General features: G+C 35.1%; 1 protein-coding gene and 1 pseudogene across 7 annotated transcripts in view, besides 1 other annotated feature; one reads left to right on the top strand and one right to left on the bottom strand.

Moving 5' to 3' along the window:
• The window catches only part of UNC13C (unc-13 homolog C), a 795839-nt gene that overhangs the window by 477056 nt on the left and 296195 nt on the right, over positions 1-22588 (top strand). For all 7 annotated transcript variants that reach the window (XM_047432538.1, XM_017022220.2, XM_017022221.2 and 4 more), the window contains 3 exons: positions 7282-7438; positions 17386-17454; positions 19110-19199. In XM_047432538.1, the coding sequence (XP_047288494.1) occupies positions 7282-7438; positions 17386-17454; positions 19110-19199 (316 nt within the window). The remainder of the gene's footprint in view (positions 1-7281; positions 7439-17385; positions 17455-19109; positions 19200-22588) is intronic.
• HNRNPA1P74 (heterogeneous nuclear ribonucleoprotein A1 pseudogene 74) lies at positions 5881-7075 on the bottom strand (annotated as a pseudogene).
• Positions 19743-19912: an enhancer, noted in NCBI's record as "experimental_39975 CRE fragment used in MPRA reporter constructs". NCBI's record gives its function as "activates a minimal promoter by MPRAs in K562 erythroleukemia cells, with activity observed for both the introgressed and non-introgressed 15:54626683 variant alleles {active_cell/tissue: K562}" and the evidence as "EXISTENCE:reporter gene assay evidence [ECO:0000049][PMID:34662402]".

The raw sequence follows: 22588 nt of genomic DNA on the forward strand, positions 1-22588 counted from the left end.
TTGGCAAAACAAAAACAATTAAGTATTTAAAGACTAAGTTGGAATTACTAAGGTTACCTAGTTTACTTGGTGTTTTCATGCTGTTCATGATAGGAACAGCAGCTTTCCATCTTGATTTTATATTTTCAGAGATCATTCTAAATCTTCAGTTATAACATTGTCAAAGTCAGGCTGAAAATTGTTTTGTTAGGAAGTTTGGGTACTACAGAAAAATTCAAGGTTTTATATCTTAGAGATCAGAAGCAGACAGTAATTCTGTGATATTTGGATTATCTCCAGGTACAAAGTATTTTTTTTTCCTTCTGACTGTGGTATGTGAAGTGGTCGTTCTTAATGAAAGCATGGCAGGAGTGTCCATTTTCACTTCTACACTTTCTAAATTGTTTTTCTGCTTCCACTGCCGACTCATTTGAATCCATCTTTATACCACTTCAGAGTCATCTTTTCAAATTAATCTGATAATGCTAGCTCTTTCTGCAGAAATCTCAGGTAACTTCATGTAGTTCACAAGAGAAAATCAAAACTCCTTGGCTAGATATTGTACCAATCAAGGTTTGGCCTTGACCTACTTTACCTTGGTCATCCCCTGGTACCTCTTCACTTTCCATCTTATTTCCTCTTAGTGCAAACTCCTGTCACTCTATTAACATTGATCTTGCTAAGGTCATGATGATGTTTATTTGTCAAGTCAAATAACTTCTTTTCTGTCCTATTTTATAAGACTCTTACTGCACTTAACAGTATCAATCATCCTTTTATCAAGATTATCCTGATTCCAGTTTCCTGGGTTTACTTTTACCTATCTAGTATTTATTTAGTCTCAATTATAGAATTTACTTTTTTTCTTCTTGTATAATTTCCTTTCATATGGCTATTTCCCAGGTGACATTCTCTAACATTTCTTCATTTATTGTACATATTTTCCCTAGGTAATCTTATCCTTTCTCATGGTTTTTGATAATTCATGATGATGATCCCAAATCTAGGTGTTTAGTCCATGTCTCCAAAAACCAGTAACATTCCTACATGGAAGCTCTATGAGCACCTTAAGCTCATAGTTGACTAGATACATTATCCCCACCTTCAATTTTTTTCAATTTTTAGTTCCCAGCTCACTTGGCAGAAGAACCATTCACGTAGTCACTCAAACTAGAACCTTGAAACTTAACCTTTTCTCTTCCCCATCCTGCTCTCCTTATGAATTCTAAGTCCTGACAGTTATTCCTCTCTGAATATTTCTCAAATCCATTTCCTCCTCATCATCTACACACAACTACTCTAGTTCAGACATCCATCGTCTCTTCTCTTCATAGCCTCCTAATTGGACTCTTTACTTTCACCTTCCTTAAACTCATCCTCCTACATGCTCCTTCCATCAAATTAACCTATTTAAAATCCAGATCTGATTATTTCACTTCCTAAGACATGTTGAAGAACTAGAGTTCCTTGCTAATACTTTTTAACTTATATTTACTCTAAGATTTTGAACTTTCTCCAAAAATGTTTTTTGATGCATAGAATAGATCCAACTTACCTAACATGTTACATAAGACTCTCTGTAAACCCCTCAGACTTATCTTTGGCCATACCAATCCTAATTGTTCTCCTGGAAATTTGTGCTCTGTTAACCTAATATTGCTGGAGTTCACTTTACACAATATTTTCTTTCTTTCCATAGTGCCTTGATTTGTACTTTTCCATTCCTCTGGAATACATTCTTTATCCATCAATGATATCAAACTCTATGCCACGCTTGGCTATCTCTTAGTCATTCATTGACTGTTAGCCCAGCCTCATCTCAAGACATCTCCCCTGACCCTCCTCACCAGGCTGTGATATACACATTCTAACTGAGTGTCTTCATAGCACTCTTCTATGCCTTTTTCATAATTTTTGCATAACTGTACAAAATTTATTACATGACCGATTCCCCCAGCAGTCTATAAGCAGATTCATTACTGCATATCCAAAGCTAATATAGCATCTGCCATGTAAGTGTGCTCAGTAAATATTTGTTGGACCAACTTGTAGAGAAGCTAAGCTCTTCACTCTTTCATGATCATTACCTCAACTCTCATTCTGTAGTCCTTGTGTTTCCTTCTGACTTCTCCTCTCTTCACCGCTATGGGATTCAATTCGGCCTTTGGAGGATTGCCCTGCACCTCCAAGCCTGCTCCTCCATCCTATGGCCCACCCAAACCTTTTGGCTGCCTCTATGATTGCACTTTCTGCTGTACAACAAAATTAGGATTCGAGGTATGTGCTTCTCTTTTAAGAGTATGCATTTTATTAGATGAAGACTATGTTTTAATCAACTCCACATCCTTACCATTAAGAAGAGTACCAGGAATACAGTAAGTACATAACCAGTGAAGAAAGAGTACTCTGACCAGATGGCTTGAATAGGAAAAAAATGGTTAAATACTATAAAACTCTTAGAATAAATTATAATACTAATTCTAATCAATTTTCATAGATGAATGTATTATAATTACTATTTGACTATACATTGAAGTTATTTTTAAAAGAGAAGCTTAAAGTGTGAATGTAAGTTGGACATTACTTTTTTCTAACTTTTCTGTGAATAACATATGTTAGCACTAATGATAAACGTGTGGTGAAGATTGTATTAAACTATATAACTCAAGACTACACTTATTTACATGACGTTTCCTGAATTATTCAAATTTTCACATATAACCTATGAATTATTTATTAACCTCTCATTTTGATCATGAAACACTGCTCTGGCATTCAAAAACCACAGTTTCTTAGGGTATTTTTATCATCAAGATATTTGCTTAACCATCTCAAAGTATAAAATAGGCAAAGGGTGGTTTTTGATACTTCTAATCTTCCCATATTGCATTTGTATTTCCCTCAGATGACTTTTAAGTAGTGAGCAATGTTCAATAATTGTGTCATTTACTTTCAAATTTATTTAGTTTATTTTAAACTGACAGATAAAATTATACATATTTATCATGTACAATATGATGCCTTGAGGCACATATACTCTGTGGTATGATTAAATCTAGCTGATTAACGTATACATCATCTCACATAGTTATCATTTTTGTGGGAGAACTTTTAACATCCGTTCTCCTAGCGTTTTTCACAAATACAATATATCATCATTAACTATAGTCACCATTCTGTAAAATAGATCTTTAGGACTTATCCCCCCATTTAATAAAATGTTATATCCTTTGACCAGGATCTTCCCAACCCTGCACCCCCTAACTGCTCCAACCTCTAGTAACTACCTTTCAACTCTCTACTTCTCTGACTTCAACCTTTCAGACTGTACATATGAGTGAGATCATGCTGTATTTGTCTTTCTGTGTCTGGCTTATTTCACATAATGTCCTCCAGGTTCATCCATGTTGTTGCAAATGGCAGGATTTCCTTCTTTTTATGACTGAACAGTATTCTCTGATGTATATAACCATATTTTCTTTATCCATTCATCTACTGATAGATACTTAGGTTGATTCTATTCCTTGGCTGTTGTGCTGCAATACACATGGGAGTGCAGATATCTCTTTGACGTGCTGATTTCGTCTTATTTGTAGATATATCCATTAATGGGAATGATGAATCATATGATTGTCCTATTTTTTAGTTTTTTGAAGAACCACCATACTATTTCCCTTAATGGCTGTACTAATTTACATTCCCACCAACAGTATACAGGGTTCCCTTTTCTCCACATCCTTGCAAAACACTTCTTACCTCTTATCTTTTGGGTAATAGCCATTCTAATAGGAGTGAGGTAATATCTGATGTGGTCTTAATCGGCATTTCCCTGATGATTGGTGATGTTGAACTTTTTTTATATATACCTTTCAGCCTTTTCTGTGTCTTCTTTTGAAAACTGCCTATGTGGGTCTTTTGCCCATTTTTACTCGGATTATTTGTTTTCTTGCTACTGAGTTATTCAAGGTTCTTATATGGTTTGGGTATTAACACCTTATCAGATGTACAGTTGACATTTTGTTACAGTTGATTACAGTTGACAGTTGATATTTTCTCTCATCCTGCAGGTTATCTCTTCACTCTCTTGAGTTTTTCCTTTGCTGTGCAGAAACTTTTTAATTTGATGTGCTCTTGTTTATCTGGTTTTGCTTCTTTTGCCTGTGCTTTTGAGGTCATATCAAAAAAATAATTATGTCATTTTTTACATAAATCTTTTAGTTTCACTTATAAAAATCATCCTGTGAATGCCTTAAGTAAGTTATTCCTGTGTCGCTCTACTATTTATGCTTGAAGTAACCACTAAGCTGCTGTTGCTTCCTTAACCAAGCACCAAAAATCTCAAGGTGGCAGCTAAAAAAGTAAAGCCAAGTAATATGGCTGCTTTATGAGAGCACCAATCCTTTCTAAAACCAAGAACAAGATTACTCAGCCTGATGACCTCCAGTATCCCTCTAAAAAGACAATGCAGGGTCTGGGTAATAACCCCCTTGTTTTTGAGTGTCCTAACAATTTATTTTCAAAATTGACTATGGCATTTCTATATCTCTTCTTCCCCCTAGTTCTTTTATTGTCACCTACACCATTTTAGGCATTACATTTTCCACAACTTTTGACCTGTGATTTTAGTCTGACAAATGTAATTACTTGTGAATTGTTGAAAAAAAAAAAAAAGAAATGTGATAGCATAGCTCTAAGAATTTTTAATTTCTATTTTTAACTAATATTTTTTGTTAAATAAATAATATTGTTTGTGGATTCTTAATACATATTAATTATAATCAATTCAGTGTATAATAAAGTCATAACACTTATCATTTCCTTAAAGAAGCAGTCATTAATAATCGAAATCCAGGGTTAATTTGCACAAATCATGGAACTCACATAGCATAAATTTTTATTCGTGATTCTTAAAGATGCACCTTTAAAGATTTAACCTTTTTTGTTAATCAGTATTATGACAAAGTAGGTAGCAAGGTGCCTGGTTAAGATATAAGAAAAGCCACAGTTTTCAGGACCATCATTTATTTTTTGTGAGTGCCACTCAGGGCAGCTATTTATGTATGTGTTCAATAATACAAAATTCAGAAATGTCTAGATGCTTTGGTGGCATAGTAAGATATGAGAGCAAAATAGGATCACATTATATAGTGAAATTTTCTTTCCTCCATGTATATTTTATCTTTCACTTTTATCATAAGCTGTGCTTTCCATTTTCAAGTCTTTTGTTGTAGTTCAAATGAAAAAGGTTTCCTTGAGAGAAGTAACAAACTTGGACCCTTGATGCTTCTGATGGGTATAAATGATACCATTATTCAAGGTTTAAAAGAAATGATCTTTAAGCATAAAGCTGGCATTATTCAATCTGTTCTCACTATTCATCTGTTTGCCTAATTAAATCTTGTCTGTAACAAAGTGCTTAGAAAAGAGAATTGCTTACAGAAGATATTTCTTTCTGAAAAATCATACAAACTGGACTCAAGTCAGAGGTTAAATTGACTTATTAATTCAATGTATATTGAGAGGAGGGTGTCTTGCTACTTTACAACTGTGAGAGGCATACAAATGCAAAACAACATTTTGGTGAAAATATGACATTTCAGGAACCAAAATAAGTAGAAGCAGGGTTGAGGAAGTAGGGAAACTCCTGCGCAGTTGCTTTCCGATGGTGCTAAATTCCACTGGAAATTGTACTTTTGGTGCATACATGCAACATTCAAAGTTGAGTTTACACATCTTTGTGGCAAATTACGTTCTTTTTTTTAAAGACACATTTATTCCGCATCATGATCAAACTATTACATTTAGCAATCAACATCAAGGGTGCAAAAAATATCTGCATTAAAAACGTTCACTGGAATGCTTTACACAAAACAGAAACTAAAATAACGTGTTATACAATTGGTCACAAATATAATCCTTGAGATTTTGGCCCATACACATGAGTATTGTCTAAAACACATCTTCTTTGACAGCAGCAAGCCCTGTCACCACTGTGCCCAGCTGAATTCACAACTGTGTTGTAACCCATAGCTTCCTTGTCACTTCTCTGGCTCTCTTCTCCTGCTAAACTTTGTTTCCTGGCAGTAATTAAGATCTTCTGCCACTGCCATAGCTACTGCTGCTACTGGAACCACCATGACCACCTTGGTTTCCTGGTTGGCAAAGTATTGGCCTCCATGACCACAGGAACTAGAGCTTCTGCCTCCAAAGTTTCTACCCTTCATTCATCCAAAATTTGAAGATTGAATCCTATCATTGCCAAAATTGTTGTAGCTTCCACTACTTCCGAAACTGCTTCCATTATTACCAAATCCATTATATTCATCCCCACTGCCACCATATCCACTACCACCACAGCTGCCACCAAAGCCACACAGTCACTAACGTTTCCTCCATGACCAAAGTTGTTATTCCCCCGAAACCGCCTCCATGGCCACCACCAAAGCTTTTAGGACCACTTTGACCTCTTCAACTGGGTGAGGCACTAGCCATCTCTTGCTCTGACAGGGCTTTTCTTACTTCACAGTTGTGGCCATTCACAGTAAGGTGTTTCTGAATGACAGCCTTATTTATGGAGCCATGGTCATCAAAGGTTACACAAGCAAGACCCCTTTTCTTGCCACTGCCTCAGCTATGATTTCAATCACTTCAATTTCCCTGTACTGTTCAAAATAATCTCTTGGGTGATGTCCTTCAATGTCTTCTTTAATGCCACCCACCAAGATCTTTTTCAAATTTAAGTGGGTACCTGGTCTTTGAGAATCTTCTCTTGAGACAGCTCTCTTTGTTTCCACAACTCTTGCATCTGCCTTTGCGGCCTTGCGTTCATGGCTACATCCACCTCCTCCACAGTGGCATATGTGACAAACCCAAAGCCCCTGGAGTGCTGGGTATTTGGGTTTCTCATTACCACATAGCCTGTGAGTGTTCCCCGTCACCCCTCAGACTCACATTAACTTTTTTCAAAGCTTAACCCTCTGATGCAGAGCTTCTGCAGCTGTTCAGGCTCTTTCAAAAACTGACTTCGACATGACAACAGTGGCAAGGGAGACTTTAACAATGCTTTCTCGGCAGCGTCCATGGGCAAAAAGGGCAAATTACACTCTAATTAAGGCACTTTACATTTGTGAATGGGAAATTTTCAGAAGGCCAAAATTGTTTTTCTTTCAATTAGAGATTGTGCAGTTTTCTCTCCTTTTCATAGATGTAGCTGTGGAATTAATTGCTGATGTTAGAAGCTCTGTTGTTGTATGAATTAATTAATTTCTGTCTTAAAAACACTTTATGTTTTTTGTCTTTCAGGCACTTTTCATGTCTGTCTTCTAAATACATGTGCCCCGGTGTCCCTGCCGTCATGAGCACCTTGCTGGCTAATATAAATGCTTTTTATGCTCACACAACAGTTTCAACAAACATACAGGTTTCTGCCTCAGATCGATTTGCTGCTACCAACTTTGGTGTAAGTATAATTTTTTAAACTTTAAAATTCCTAGCAGCTTATGGGAGTTACATTTCAAGAGACTTTGAACTTAAGATATTCCTGGAATCTTATTGCAGAAAGGACATTTTAGGGAATAGCGTAATGGGTTCCAGCTCAAAGTTCATTTGAAACATTTTTAGTAAATTAACTTTGACAATCAATAAGAATTTTCATTAGATTGAATCTTCATATCTTAAAGGATCTTTTTCAGTGAGGGAAAAACATACATTTTATAAGAGAATGCTGGGACTTTATAGGGAATTCTCAACATATGCAAATTTGGTATTCAACATTTCAGATTCACTGTCTTGTAGATATAGTTCCCTAGTAAGTGTGAGCTTGGCTGCCATCTCTGGAACATATTAGGCTCCATTTGCACTTCCTATTGGTTCCTTCTGGTACTGATGGATAGTGGCACATCCTCTAAGTAAAACATGGCATGTGTTTAAGGAGCCTACAAAAAACAATCTGTGCCTAATTAAGGCTGTCCATCTGACATATGCAAAGGCATCAAGAATGCATTGAAAAGTAGAAATTCAGGGAATCAAAGGAGCCCCAAGAATTCGTCTGTTGCATCCATCAGTGTAACTCTTTCTCTGCAAGTATACTGTAACTGAAATTGGCAAGACTGGAAATAGGATATAAACTAAGAGTATTTCTAGTAAAGTGGTAAGAGTCAGAATTAAAAATGAGTGGAGATGGAGAAGAGAGGATAGATACCAAAGGTTTTCAGGGCATAAAATCAGCAGCCTCAATAGCATTTGGTATGTTTGGGGACATGGACAGGGAGGGAAGGAGAAGATGCCTGGAAATATTCCCAGGTTTCTGGTCAGGGCAAATGGGTAGGCAGTAGCGCTGTTCAGTAATCCTGTGAGACAGGTTTTTTGTTCTCTTTTTTTTTTTTTCATGGAGGAAACTAAGATCAGTTGTGGGAAGATGATTTTTCATGGCACAATGTTGTTTCCACTGCACTTCCAATTTAGTTTACTGAATATATTTTTGTTACAGAGTATATTGTTTAGAAATCAAATTTTGAGTTATGTGTCATAGAAAAGAAACAGTTGAGACACAGCAAATAAAAGAGTGAAAACCCAATAGGGAAAAAGATGTGCTCCTGTGTTTACTCTTTTTCTGTCCTTTTCCTCTGAAAGAGAAATGCATGCGAGGTGTATGAAGTGAATTAGAATAATCAAAGGAAAGTATAATTGTTATTTAATGCCAAATCAAATAAAATGCCAGTAAAGGAGACTACTCTTTGGGTTAGGAGTTATGCAGTTTCACTTTTTGTTGAAATTTAGCAAGTCAGTTTAGTCGTCTAAGCCTCAGTTCCTCAACATGCTCAATGAAGAAGATAATTCTTACTTTAACATGTTTCTCAAATTTAAAATAATGATAAAATGAGATAAAAGATGGCAAGCCAGTTGATAAAAGCTAAAAGTGTCAGTGTATAAAATATGAGAATTTTGTCTCTCCTGCCTTACCTACAGTATAACCTACAGTATCAGCTACTTTTGTTAGACAGATTGACTCTTGCAGAAGCTGGAACCAAAGAACGTTCCCTAGCCAGTTCAACAAAATCCTGTTGTTACCAAATACCAGATCATAGAACAGCTTTGTTATAAAAACCTCATCTTAGTAACAGCACTTGCTGTCTTGGGATTTTACCTATAATATAAAGCATGCTGCACTATGAAATTGTTTTGCTTCTAATATTCCGTCTGTGTATATTGTGAAGAAAAAGCCAACATCATGGAACATTGAGCCTTTCTCCCTCTGAGAAAGATGTGTTTAAGTGATTAATATCCACCATAAAAACTACCTAGAGGAAAATTAGATAACATGCTCCTTTACTTCATGTTGACCCAAAGAAGAGACAGCAGATTGATTTCAGTACATTTTAGTATTTCAGTGGCAGTGTAGTTATAACAAACTTCCTTTTGTAAATCCAATAACTTATTATAGAATAGGGCCAAAAGAAAGAGAAATGTTTCTTCAAACTACATCAGAAAAGTTGGTGATTTGGTATATAAATTTGACTATATTTTTCTAGCTATCAAAAATAATGCCATTTGATGAGTCAAATATACCTAAGTATATCTCCTGCCTCTACATTGGAACCTCAGGTTTTTATTCACCTAACTGTTAAAGCTGATTCTGTCATCTGGGACACATTGACAATTATATGCTCCCTTCTTGATCCTTCTCAAAGGTGCATAGCCCACACATTTTGAGACTCCAAACCAGTAGAAAAAGCTTTCTTACCTATGAGAATTGTAAAACAAATCTTTAAGAAAAGAAAACCATTTTACATTTAGACCTTTTCAAGTATAAATCTTATTTGAAATCATGATGTGGATGAAATATGTTCAAAAATAAAGTGAAAAGGACAGAACCCTTGGGTGTACAGAAGAGATGCAAGCAAAGTTTACCTAGGAAAATGGCTAGACCAATTGGATGACAGTGATTTTTTTTTAAAATGTGATTTTATCGCACCATTGCACTCCAGCCTGGGCAACAGAATGAGACCCTGTCTCTAAAAAAAAAGTGATAACTGTAAAAGGTAAGGTAAACTATTTTGGGAAAAGGGTAGTATATCATATAATTAACTGTCATAGAGAGTTCAAGTAAAATGGAGAAAGAAATTAGCCCATTGAATTTGGCAAGTAGAATGTCATTGGTCAGTGAAGCAATTGAGGTTGAAGCCTGATTTCACGAAGTTTGTTCAGTGAATGGCATATAACAAGCTTGTCCAACCCACAGCCCGTGGGCCACATGCAGCCCAGAGTGGCTTTGAATATAGCCCAATACAAATTCGTAAACTTTCTTAAAACATTGTGAGACTTATGCATGATTTTTTTTATTCCTCATCAGCTATCATTAGTGTTAGCGTATTTCATGTGTGGCCCAAGACAATTCTTCTTTTTCTATTGTGGCTCATGGAAGCCAAAAGATTGAATATCCCTGGCATAGAAGCACAGTTATATAAATTAAAGCTCAATTATTCCATAAATATGATACAGTCATTAAAAATCGAGTTTTTATGGAAGAGGTTCAATAATTGAGCAGTGCCCATGATAATAATAAATGAAAAAAGTATGCTAAAAAACTCTATATGCAATTTAATTCCAACATTGAAGGCACACACACACATACATACACACACTTACACACACACATACAGGTTTAGAGATAAGACTGGAAGGAAATGTGGTCAAATACCAAAGACATAGCCACCTAGTTGGGTTATAGCTGACATTTTGTTGGTTTTGTTTTGTATGAATCTTTATACAACAGTCTTTTTGTTATTATTTTACTTTAAGTTCCAGGGTACATGTGCACAACGTGCAGTTTTGTTACATAGGTATACTTGTGCCATGTTGGTTTGCTGCACCCGCCAACTCATCATTTACATTAGGTGTTTCTCCTAATGCTATCCCTCCCCCAGCCCCTCACCCCTCGACAGGCCCCGGTGTGTGATGTTCCCCTCCCTGCATCCATATGTTCTCATTGTTCACCTCCCACTCGTGAGTGAGAACATGTGGTGTTTGCTTTTCTGTTCTTGTGTTACTTTGCTGAGAATGATGTCTAAAATTTTTTATAAAATACCTTAAGTCTGTATTAACTTTATAACAACATTCTGAAAGAAAGCGTGAAATTGGATGAGGAAACAGACTATTCTTTCAAGGAACTTAAATCAGAAGATAAAAAGAGAGATTGGGCAAGGGTAAGAAGGTTTTTCCATATAAAAAGAGACTTTATTTTTATTATCTGCTTGGGTAGGGATTTTTAAACTATTTAATAAGGTAAATATAAACATGTTTATAGAGTGTTAGGAAAGGAGTTAGTTGCAAGAGTGAGGTTGTGAATTTCTCAGATGGGAGAATAAGTGACTATAAGTACTATCTCAGAGGAAACGAAGGAAGTGCAGTCATGAGGGCAGAAGGAGAGGCTAGCCTTTAGAATGAGAAAGGACAAACTCTGTTCTGAAATTCAAGGAAATAGTGTGAGAGTCCTTGCAGAGAACACTAAGCTTTTGATATAGAAGTGAAAAGTTGGGGTAGTTGTACCTTATTTTTTAATCCTTCTTTAAAGTTGTCAGGAAAGACAAGTGTTGCTCATTTACAAAACAATGGGCTGTGAAATGGTTGCAGAGGGGAAGGGGGTTGGTAAAAGTTTGGATAAGCTACTGAGGGGAATACAAAAAAGAATGTTTCAGGGACATGTAAAAGAAATTCCTAGTAAACTGAAAGTGTCATTTGCTGTTGGGCACTATAAATGTGTTGTCACAATTCTTGTGACAGTGAGACTTTCTTAGAGTGTGTCAGCATCCTGATGCTTATCTACTAGGAGATAAAGCTGATGGTTGGATTGACTCTAGGCTGAAATTTTGCAGAAAAGAGGCCATGGGAAGGTAAGGAAATTCATATAAAGATAATGGGGTGAAGGTAAAGTGATTTGCCATTAGCTCTAGTTTTTGGTAAGTGGAACCATGAGAAGCATGATGGATAGCAAGAGAGAAGGAGGGGAGAAGTGGGGAAAGGGACAGAGAGAGTGGAAGAGAGAAAACAGGCAGAGACAGAGGATTGTGGGAGGAACATATTAATAGCACCTTTCAGTTAACATTTTGCAAGGGAAGTCTCAGGTCCAAAAGGTAACTCAGGGAGTAGATTGTTGAAAATTGATTGTAGAACAGTGGTATGCTACAACTGGCTGGTACCTGCTCATGAGAACTGATCAGTAAATTTTCAGGAATATTGCAAGCTTGTTAAACACAGCCATCCTTGAAATTGGACATATTAAAAGTATTTACAACATGAAAGTTAGCAAATGCTAAAAATCAAGGCTTTTTGCTTTCAGAGAGCCACTTTACCAGCGCATCACTGAGTATAAATGTTATTTGGAGTCCAGACAAAGAACTTTACTAGATAAAGTGTCTCTATGTGTGTTGAACGCACTCATGGGTAGATCAGGAGTTGAAAAGTAACAAAATTCCATGAGGTGGGAGGCAGTCAATATTTTAATTTTGAAGGTGTCTTTAGGAAATTTATTTAGTGAATTATCTTGAAATACAAATATCAAATAAATCAATTGTAAAATTAATATTTTTGAGCTGTTTATTTACTTGAGTATATACATGCTCAATATATATAACCAAGTATAAGTGATATTTTTATTGACTGACCAACCTCTATAATATTTTCTTTCTACACATTTTTGGCTGCATTTTCTTTGATCACGTCATATGACAAAAAAATTGAAATATTATTTTTATAATTTTTTTTTTTACTTAGCTGAGTTGACATATTTTTTAATGGACGCTTTAGAAGAGTTTATTTCACTTTCACAATGCCACATGCGTTTTAGTGATTTTCATAAAATTTGGGAAAACACCAATTATTTTTTTCATATGTGATGTAAAAGCAAAAATTACAGCTGACAAAGTTAAACAGGCAAGGCAAACTTTATTCAAGACTATTGCAATAGGGAAGAGAGGCCAGAGCTCAATTAGAGCTCAACTCCACTGAAATGAAAGGCAGGGCTGAAATAAGGAGAAAGTATTGAAGGATGATAGTGGGGAGGTTGATCAATGGGATGTAACCAGTGCACTGAGTAATTTTGAGTCTGTAATTTTTTCTTCTGCGATTAGGCCATCTTTGTTTGCTAATTACAGGCATGGAAGTTAGGGTCCTATCTTCCCAAAGAGGGTGGGAGGTAGGAGTGCTCTCTCCTTGATGATTACATTTCAAAGGGAAGGCTCCCAAGTCTTTCAGAAAGGCATTCTTGGATTATGAAACTGGCAAGAGGCTTTAAAAAATATTTCCATGTGAAGGGGCAGAAAAAGAATTTACTGTTACAACTTTTCTAAATAAAATGCTTTAAGAAAAGGGAGGTCGAGACCTAGAGTCAGGAAGAAGCCTATCTAAAGTTTAACCAGGCTGAGGGGAAGGCTAAGCGTGTCTTGATCAGTGAACAATAACATTTCAATGCTTTTCAAGTTTTCCTGTGAAGCGACTCTTTAAATATACTTTGAATTGATGAAATTTATTAATTATTTTGTCATTGAAAGCATCATTTTAGTGGCCTTTCATAATAGTATGATATTTCTGTTGGTATCAGAATTAATCTCAAATCAATAAGAGCTATAAATATATGTCCAATATGTTCATGTTTAACACTAATTGAATTATTTAAAAATTACCAAAATTGCCTATGCATTACTTCTGTTTGAAAAGTCTTTCTTAATGAATTGCTGTTTTTGGTATGATCTGGAAAAAAACTGTTACAATTTGCTTGTCGTGTTCTGAATTATTTTTATCTTATTCCTGAAAATTTTACAAAAATCTAAGATAGCATGAATACATAGCTAGCACCTCCCAGGGGTGCTAAAGAAGGTGAGGGCTGAAGAGCTTAAGCATCATTAGCTTCTGGTTAAATTCATCCCTGCTGTTGAAGCCAGACTTTGAGAAAGAAAGAAAGAAAATAATGAGAGATGCTGAGGATGATGCAGAGGTTATCATACCCCTTCCTTACAAGAGCTTTTCCTTCCAGGGTTCCCCAAATCCTGGGGGGAACTTCCTGAAGGTGCACACTCCGAGGAGCAACTACCTCTTCCCCCTGCCCATGGGCCAAATGCAGTCCACTAACTCACCAACTGGTTTTGTAAGGCCCATAAGCTAAGAATATTTTTTAATATTTTCTAATGTTGAAAAAAAATTTTAAAGACTGTTATTTTGTGAAACATTAAAACTATCTAAAATTCAAATTTCCACATCCATAAATCAAGTTTCACTGGAAAATAATCATGCCTATTAGTTTACATATTGTCTATGGCAGCTACTGTGCTATAGTGTCAGACTGAATAGTTGAGACAGGGTTGGCAAAGTGAAAAATATTTACTAACTAGCCCTTTGTAGATAGTTTGCCAATCCCTGGTCTAGTTATTCTGGTCAACTAATTAAACCAAGTTTTTTTTTTTTTTTTTTTTGCTTGGATTTACCTTTTATTTATTTTAAAAATTTATTTAAATTTCTAATTGGATACGTAATAGTTGTACATATTTATGGGGTACAAGATAAATTTTGATACATGCATACAATATGTAATGATAAAATCGGAATAACTGGAATATCGATCATCTCAAGCATTTATCATTTCTTCATGTTGGGAACATTCCAATTCCACTCTTTTAGTTATTTTGAAATACACAACCAATTATTGTTAACTATAGTTGCCCTATTGTGCTACCAAACACTGGATCTTATTCCTTGTAACTGTATTTTTGAACCTATTATAGTATTTATTATTATTTTTATTATTGATTTGCCCCCTGCTAGACATATGTGGCCCTTATTTAATAAAAAAACTGAATAATGTGGCAGTTTTAGATATTGTGCCATGTCCCTTGGGGAAACATTTTTTAATCACCCAGTCTTTCGTTATTCCACAAATCACACCCTACAGGCAGTAGGCTTGCTCTGCTCTGCAAAGGGAATCTCACTCTAGTTAAATAGAAATGTTGTAAATAAAATTAAAGTTCAAGCTGTCCTGCTGTTTAAAGAATCTCTATGAAAATTCAATCAGCAGCATACTTTTAATTTCACATCATCTGATGTTGTTCTGGCTTTCAGTGACAAGAAGCCCAGCAGTTTTCTTCACAGTTTTCTATTTTCCTTGAATGTAAATTTTCCAGCTAGGCACTGAAGACTAGGTAGGGAAACCAAATGTGTGAACTTTATCAGTCAGAAATCTTTTCAACTCCATGAAACAGAAACTCATGAAATACATTTAACTAAATAAGATTTCCCCCTTTGCTCCCCAACTCATGGAACCTAAGTCCACAGAGGTAGGGAATTCAGAGCTGGTATAGCTGCTCAGTATTGTAATATTTTAAAAGAGTGGGCAGATGGGGTAGGATGGATGTAGGCAATCCTTTTTTTTTTCCATTCGTTCTTTCCATTTTCATCTAATGGGCATGAAATAAGCACTCTATCTTCTGGAGGCTATTAGAGTTTTAGGTGGGAAAAGGGAAGAAACACAGAGGGCAAAAGTTGAAAAGTCTGAATGCTATACCTAACAAAGAATTATACAGCAAACACTAATGTAACAAACACTATCTGCCAAGCACTCTTTTTAAATCTTTCAAAACAATAAGTCATTGGTAGTATGGTAGCTGGGTCTATTTGATTTAATAAGCTGTCTACATCTCATTGGCCAAAACCATGGCATGTGGTCATCCTTGGAGGAAAAGAGGTCGAGAGGGTGAGCATTTCATATGGGCACATTTGACATATGATATTCTTTTAGTAAGGAACAATGGAAGAACGGATATTGGGCAGACAACCACCACCATTTGCCCCAGTGAATATAAGAGGGCCGATGATTTGGGCCACAGTATGGTTGATCAGTCACTTCAACTGTCTTGATGGTTTGTGCCAATCACAGAGATAAGATAAGGCATCCAGAGATGTTACACGAATCACACTCACTTTGATAATCGTCTAAATGATTAACTTTACTGTGGCCTAAACTAATTATTGTAGTGATTCTTCTCCTTTTCTATCTGGATTGAGGGCCACCAACCCAAATGCATGGAAGTTGGAGAGTTAAGAAAGGACTGTATAGCTTGCCTCATCCCCTGGGAAGGTATAATGGAGAGTGGCAGAGAAAGATCTAAGACGTTCAACTCATCTGTATTTTCTGTAGCTTTGTTGGGATAAAGGGTCTTAACCTGCCTAAGAAGATTGCATGCTTCTGGAAGGCAGGGCTCATTTCTTAGGCTCCTTTATTGCCTCCACAGAGGTTAACACAGAGATGATACTCAAACTTTCTTATACTGATGTATAAATCTGATGATGGCAGTTTATTCAGAAAATTGGAGTTTCAGCTTAGGAACAATTTGTCACCTCCTGTTAATATTCAGCTCACTCCATCGAGATCAGTGACTTCGAGGCATAAGAGTTATATACCCCATAAATCCACCTCCTCTGTGAAACTACTGAGAAAAGCTTTCATTTTTGTCAATATCCTCCAAAGTGCAATTTGGTGTTTACAGAATATTAATGTTGGCAGGGGCATTTTATGTCATTTAATCTTACCTCTCCCATTTTATTTTTTGATGAGAAAACTGGAATTCAGAATAGTGGAGTGTCTACCTATAAGGTTTGTATGTGTGACTTTTATGTTTTGACTTTGTTTTTGTTTAATCCACCCAACTTTAACCACACACTTAATAAGAGAAAAGCTCTTTATTCTCACCATCTTCAAATACTTCTGTTAAGAGGACAGTTCAACACTGATACTGCATCAAGTGGAAGCAACAGAAGTTTTTTGGCTGCATGTTTCTACTAATTTTAGCACTAAATCATACACAGCCTTTAAAAGCAATTGATCCTTTCAGATATGAAGTCTGCATTTGCTTCCAAAAAGAAAATATTTTTTCCAATTGGTTTTGACAAAAACAACACCTGCTCCCACTTCCGTAGGTGGTAGAAGTGTAAAAAACTGTAATATATTGTCTGGAGAAGGGGCATGAAGTACAGGAATAAAAAGAAGAATGGGTTGCATTTTCTCTTGCTGACGCATTATATTGTTGTGAATTATTACACATAGAGAAATGTACTGGCAATTTATTTGTCTGATCTCTTTCTACAAAATGCAAGTCTCTAGATACTTTGTTAGAACAGTTACACATTTCTCATTAATCATAGAGAGGAAGTATGACTTATTGAAAAGACCATGAATTTGGTGTCAAAGAGACCTGAGTTTGAATCACTGCTATGCCACATAGTAACTTTATGATCTTGGACAAGTCATTGATATATTTGATCCTTCCTTTCTATAAAATAGAGACAAAACTCAGAATTATTATGAGGTCTTTAGAGTGGTCATTTATTTCCATTCTCCTATTTTGTGTTTGCTTTGTACAGAGGGAAAAATTCATAAAACTACTGGACCAGTTACATAACTCTTTGAGGATTGATCTGTCAAAGTATAGGGTATGTACAAATTTACTTGCCTAAAAGAAAACTGTTGTTTGGTCTAGAGAATTTCTTGCCATATTGTAAAAATTACCCATCATGTAATAGAAAAATAAAAATATTGATCTCAGGTGCTGTTACCCTTAGAAATAATCCAGCAGGTCTCCTTTTTTGTTCAGATTCTTTGCCCCACGTAGACTACAACAATACTCTGTGTGTGTGTGTGTGTGTGTGTGTGTGTGTGTTTGTGTATGCACTTGCAGCTTTAATTTTGTAATTTTTAAAATAGCCATCAGATTCAATGACCCTCAGCTAATTCATGAAGTAGACTATGGCCCAGTCCTCATTTTGAAAGCTCACCCTTTGTTACTGAAATACTCTGCTGATATTTCCCCAATTTCTGAGCTTCCTACTTAATTTACTGCTTCATTCTCTTTCCTCCTGGATCGTGATACCAAGAGTACCATTTGTTCCTGCAAAGCTGCCCAGAATTCATTGTCAACAATTCTATATATCACCTCCTGGGGAAACACATACACATACCACAAATATATTCATGTACATATGTGCATAAGTATACACACATATAATTTTAGTTACAAAATATCTTAGTTATAAAAATTTAGTTACAAATTTTAGTTATAAAATGTCTATAGTAATAACTAATAGATGCTCTCTTGTATCTTACATTCTTTAATAATTTATCCTAAACATCTTTTCTTATTTTAACATATCTATCTCCCATGCATTCATTTTTAATTAGTCTTTTATTGACAGATACTTTAATTGCATACTTATGGAAGTTATAATACCAAATTTAATTTGGTATTATTTCATGTTGGTTATTTCATGTTGGATCTGGGACCAACATAATGAGAAGAGAACAACCATTAAGCCATTGAGAGAGATATTTGGGGGCAACAAGGGCCTGAAGCCACCTCATTCACCACCTCATCATAGGCACACTAACCCTGTTCAAGTTCATGAATATCTCGTAATTAGCGATGGTTTTCCTAATGGCTCTTTAGAAAAGCATGTTAACATGTGAAATTGACCAAAGTAAAAATTGTTTCTTAGTTCAAACATTTTATCATTATAACTTTTCATTCCTTCAAAATTATAAACATCTGTATTTTTAAATGATGCTTCTCATCAAACCTCGCTAAAAGAAACCTTTTTTTAAAATCCATAGTATTTCAGGAAAGACTATATGATGCAAACTTATTTTTTTAACTTTTAAAGTTTTTTTGTGACTAAAAGTAAATGCAGCACATGTATAATTTCCGAAGTATTTTTTAAAAAGTAGTTATCTTGAGAAAATCATGAAAATTTTTTCCTATGTATGCTATACTTAATCCTTTTAGTAGCAAGACTATTTTAGAAGCAAGCATTAATAACATCATAACATTGTAATAATGATATTGTTTTGCATTTATTGCATTGTTAGTGTAAATAGAAGAGTGCAGCTTTCCAAGAGTAAAAATATAATATTTCCAAATTGTTTACGTTCTATAATGTTTTATGACAAAAATATTTTAAGAATACCTTGAGTATTTTTAAAATTGTATACAGTTTACTTTCCATTTTCTTTCATGAGAAGCTAGTTTTAGTTTATTTTCCCACTAGAAGTTTACTGCTGACAACCTTATCCATTTTGTTTCCTAATTAACCAGGAAAACTTTCCTGCAAGCAATACTGAAAGACTGCAAGACCTGAAATCAACTGTTGACCTGTTAACAAGTATCACCTTTTTTAGGATGAAGGTATCTCATTTTATTTCTGTCACTGTTTTGTTGTGACATAGAATACATTCATCCCCTGGTAAAGTCTTGCTTTACCCTCCTCTTGATCAAGTACTGTGTTAACTCCATCGATTAAGCTGTACTATCTTTGCCTGAACTCGATGAATCTTCCAATATAAGGTATAGTGAAGAAGAGATTATCCTAGACACTTAAAATACTCTGATACATTTGGCTCTAATTTAGTTCTCAGTTAAATTTGTCTTAGAGAAAGCTCTCTAGTAAGTGGATGTGGCACTTAAAAAATTTCCAAAGAATGTTAAATGGAAATGGAGTTCACTTCTAATTTTAGTTTTAACTTAGATGTTTTGCCGACTTTTTTGCTACAAGAAAGTAGCTGACTCTTTTAAGTTTACCCCAATTGTGGCAACTTCCATTTTCAGCACTGGGAATGTCTGTGTAGGAATATATTTGATCACCTATCTATTGGTATAATTGGCTAGGCCTTACAAACCAGGTATTTCTTTTTAGATATATCATTTCTGCTTTAATTGCGAGTTTTCGGCAGTCATAGTTCTGGCTTGCAGTGCAACTTATGTAAAGCATTTTCAGAAACTACTTGCCGGGCTGTGGGCTAAAATATACACTCTTTGAAAGACAGTATTACGATGCTTATTCAGAAAATTCCTAAATAGCAACAATTTTTTTCTTTGCATTTGCCCATAATTTTTTTCACTAGAACCTCTAAAAATGGCATTTTGTAATAAAAGAGAGACACAAAGGGAAACCATACTATATCAAAGTTCATTTAGATTCTTTAAAGTTGAATTAAAATTCATTTGGTTTAAAATCAGGCTAACTAGGTGATTAGGATAAATAGAATTTACATCAATTCTAATCTACTGTCAGTAGCTACTGGAACAATGTGCAGCTAATGATGGCGAGACCCAATCAAGTTGACTTAGATTGACAAGTGATGTCTGCCATTGACACTGAGGAGTGAGGAATGGGAGTGAGGGTAGGGTGTGCCAGCACAGTGCTACCCATCTACCATGCCTCCTTGTTTAAAAACACTATCTCCTTAAACTTGTAACTATTCTTCCCCAACCCTCACTACCAGTTGATTACTTTGCTTCCTATTTCAATGAAAAAAAAAATAGGAGGAAAGAAAGAGGAGCATCCTCAAGCTCCAATCACATACTCCCACCACCTACCCCAGTAGGTACTTCCTTGTATGTGTCCATATATTCTTTCTTTTTTAGTATTGATGAGCCATCTGTTTTCTTAGAAAATGTGGTCTCTTCTACTGGTGCAATTGATTTTGTCTTCTCTTGTGCACTAAAATATTGTTCCAGCAATCCTCTCCACTCTCCTGAATTGCCAACTTTCCCCTATGTATGTGCTATTGATTTTACAGTCTTCAAAATACTGCTTGGCATCACTTTCTTCTATAGCTACTACCCCAGTTCATTTCCCTTAATAGCAAAACTCCTTGAAATAGTCATCTATACATTTCTTTCCAATTAATTTCCTCCTATTATCTTTTGAACAAATTTTCTTCTCCTGTTATTCTTTTTTCTCATTGCAGAGAGTAAAAATCACTCTTTTGTTGTACAGTCCTATTAGTTTTGACAAATGTGTAGTCATATAACCACCAGAGCAATAAGATACAGAACAGTTCCATGAGCCTACAAAATTCCCTTGTGCTATACCATTGTTGTCAACCCTTCTCCCACATGCTGGTAACCACCGATTTGTTCTTTGCCTGTAGGTTTGCCTTTCCTAGAACATCATGTAAATGAAATCATACACGATGTAGCATAACACAATAGAGAATCATTGGTGTTGAATGTATCAACAATTCACTTCTGTTAATTGCTAAGGAGTAATTCTTTGTTATGTATGTGCTATCGATTTATCCATTCCCTCATTGAGAGATGTTTGAGTTATTTACAATTTTGGTTTCTTACAAATAAAACTGTTTTAAATAAGCATGGGATTATAGTTGTAAACATATGTTTTTATGTTCCTTGGGTTAAATCCTCAGCAGCAGTGTGTGAGAGTCCCAATTGTTCTGCATCCTCTAGCAAAACTCTTGGGATTTTCCATGTTATGTATGTATGTATGTATATATTTCTTATTCTAGTAGAAGTGACGTTGCATTATCTTAATGTATTAATTTTATTTGTCTAAAAATTAATAATATTGAGAATTTTGGAGGGGTTGATTTTCTATCTGAATATCTTTTTTTGTGAAGAATGTTGAAATTTTTACCCATATTTATTAGCTGGTTTTCTTACTGTTAAGGGCATTTTAATTTTAATTATTTTAAATTGATAGATAAAATTGTATGTATTTATTGTGTACAACATGATGCTTTAAAATGTGTATACATTGCAGAATGGCTAAATCTAGCTAATTAACGTATGCATTACCTCACAAAGTTATCATATTTGTGAGGAGAATATCTAAAATCTACTTTCTTGCATTCTTCAAGAATACAGTAGTCTCGAGTTTTGAGAGTTTTTATATGTTTTGAATACAATTTTTTGTCAGATATGTGATTTGCTATTATTTTTGCCTTGTTTGTGCCTTGTCTTTTAATTAATCTTAAAATATCTCATATAGCAAGTTTTTAATTTTGGTCTACTTTATCATTTTTTTTTTCTAATTATGGATAATGCTCTTGGTTAAACCAACATCACAAAGAGGTTTTTTTGGTGTGTTTCTTCTAAAAGATTGGTTTTACCTTTTATATTTGGGCATATTTTTTATTTAGAATTTTGGGGATTGTTTTGCTGGTTGTTTTTGTTTGATATAAGGTGTAAAGTGTGAATCAAGGATAACATTTTACATATTTATGTTTAATAGTTCCAGCAGCATTTATTAGAAAGATTTTCCTTTCTCCATTGAATTGCTTTCATATTATTGTAAAAAATTAAATTGACCATATATGTATGGGTCTATTTCTGAACTCTCTATACTGTTCAATTGTTTGTACATCCACCACTACCATCCTGTCTTGATTACTGTGACCTTATAGCAAATCATTAAAAAAGATAATGTGCATCCCACCTCGTTTCTTCATTTTTCACAATTGTATAGGTGATTTTCATTCCTTCTGGGATTTTAATTGAGATTGCCTTTCATCTATAGATAAATCCGGAGAGAACTGACATTTTAACAATATTAAAACTTCAACTCTGTCCTTAGTTTTTGACCACACTGTAATCAGACTTTTACTCTCTCACTTCACCAAAAATAATTTGTCAACATCTCATGTTTTATTTCTCTCCTATACCATTGGCTCTTTTGGGAGCAGGGTGGGGGGTACTCTCTACTGCTTTATTCCTTCTCATTTGTCTGTTGTCACAGATTTAGAATTATGTAAGATTTAACCGGATTTATTTCT

The sequence above is a fragment of the Homo sapiens genome, chromosome 15 (assembly GCF_000001405.40).
Source record: "Homo sapiens chromosome 15, GRCh38.p14 Primary Assembly".
Taxonomy (NCBI): Eukaryota; Metazoa; Chordata; class Mammalia; order Primates; family Hominidae; genus Homo; species Homo sapiens.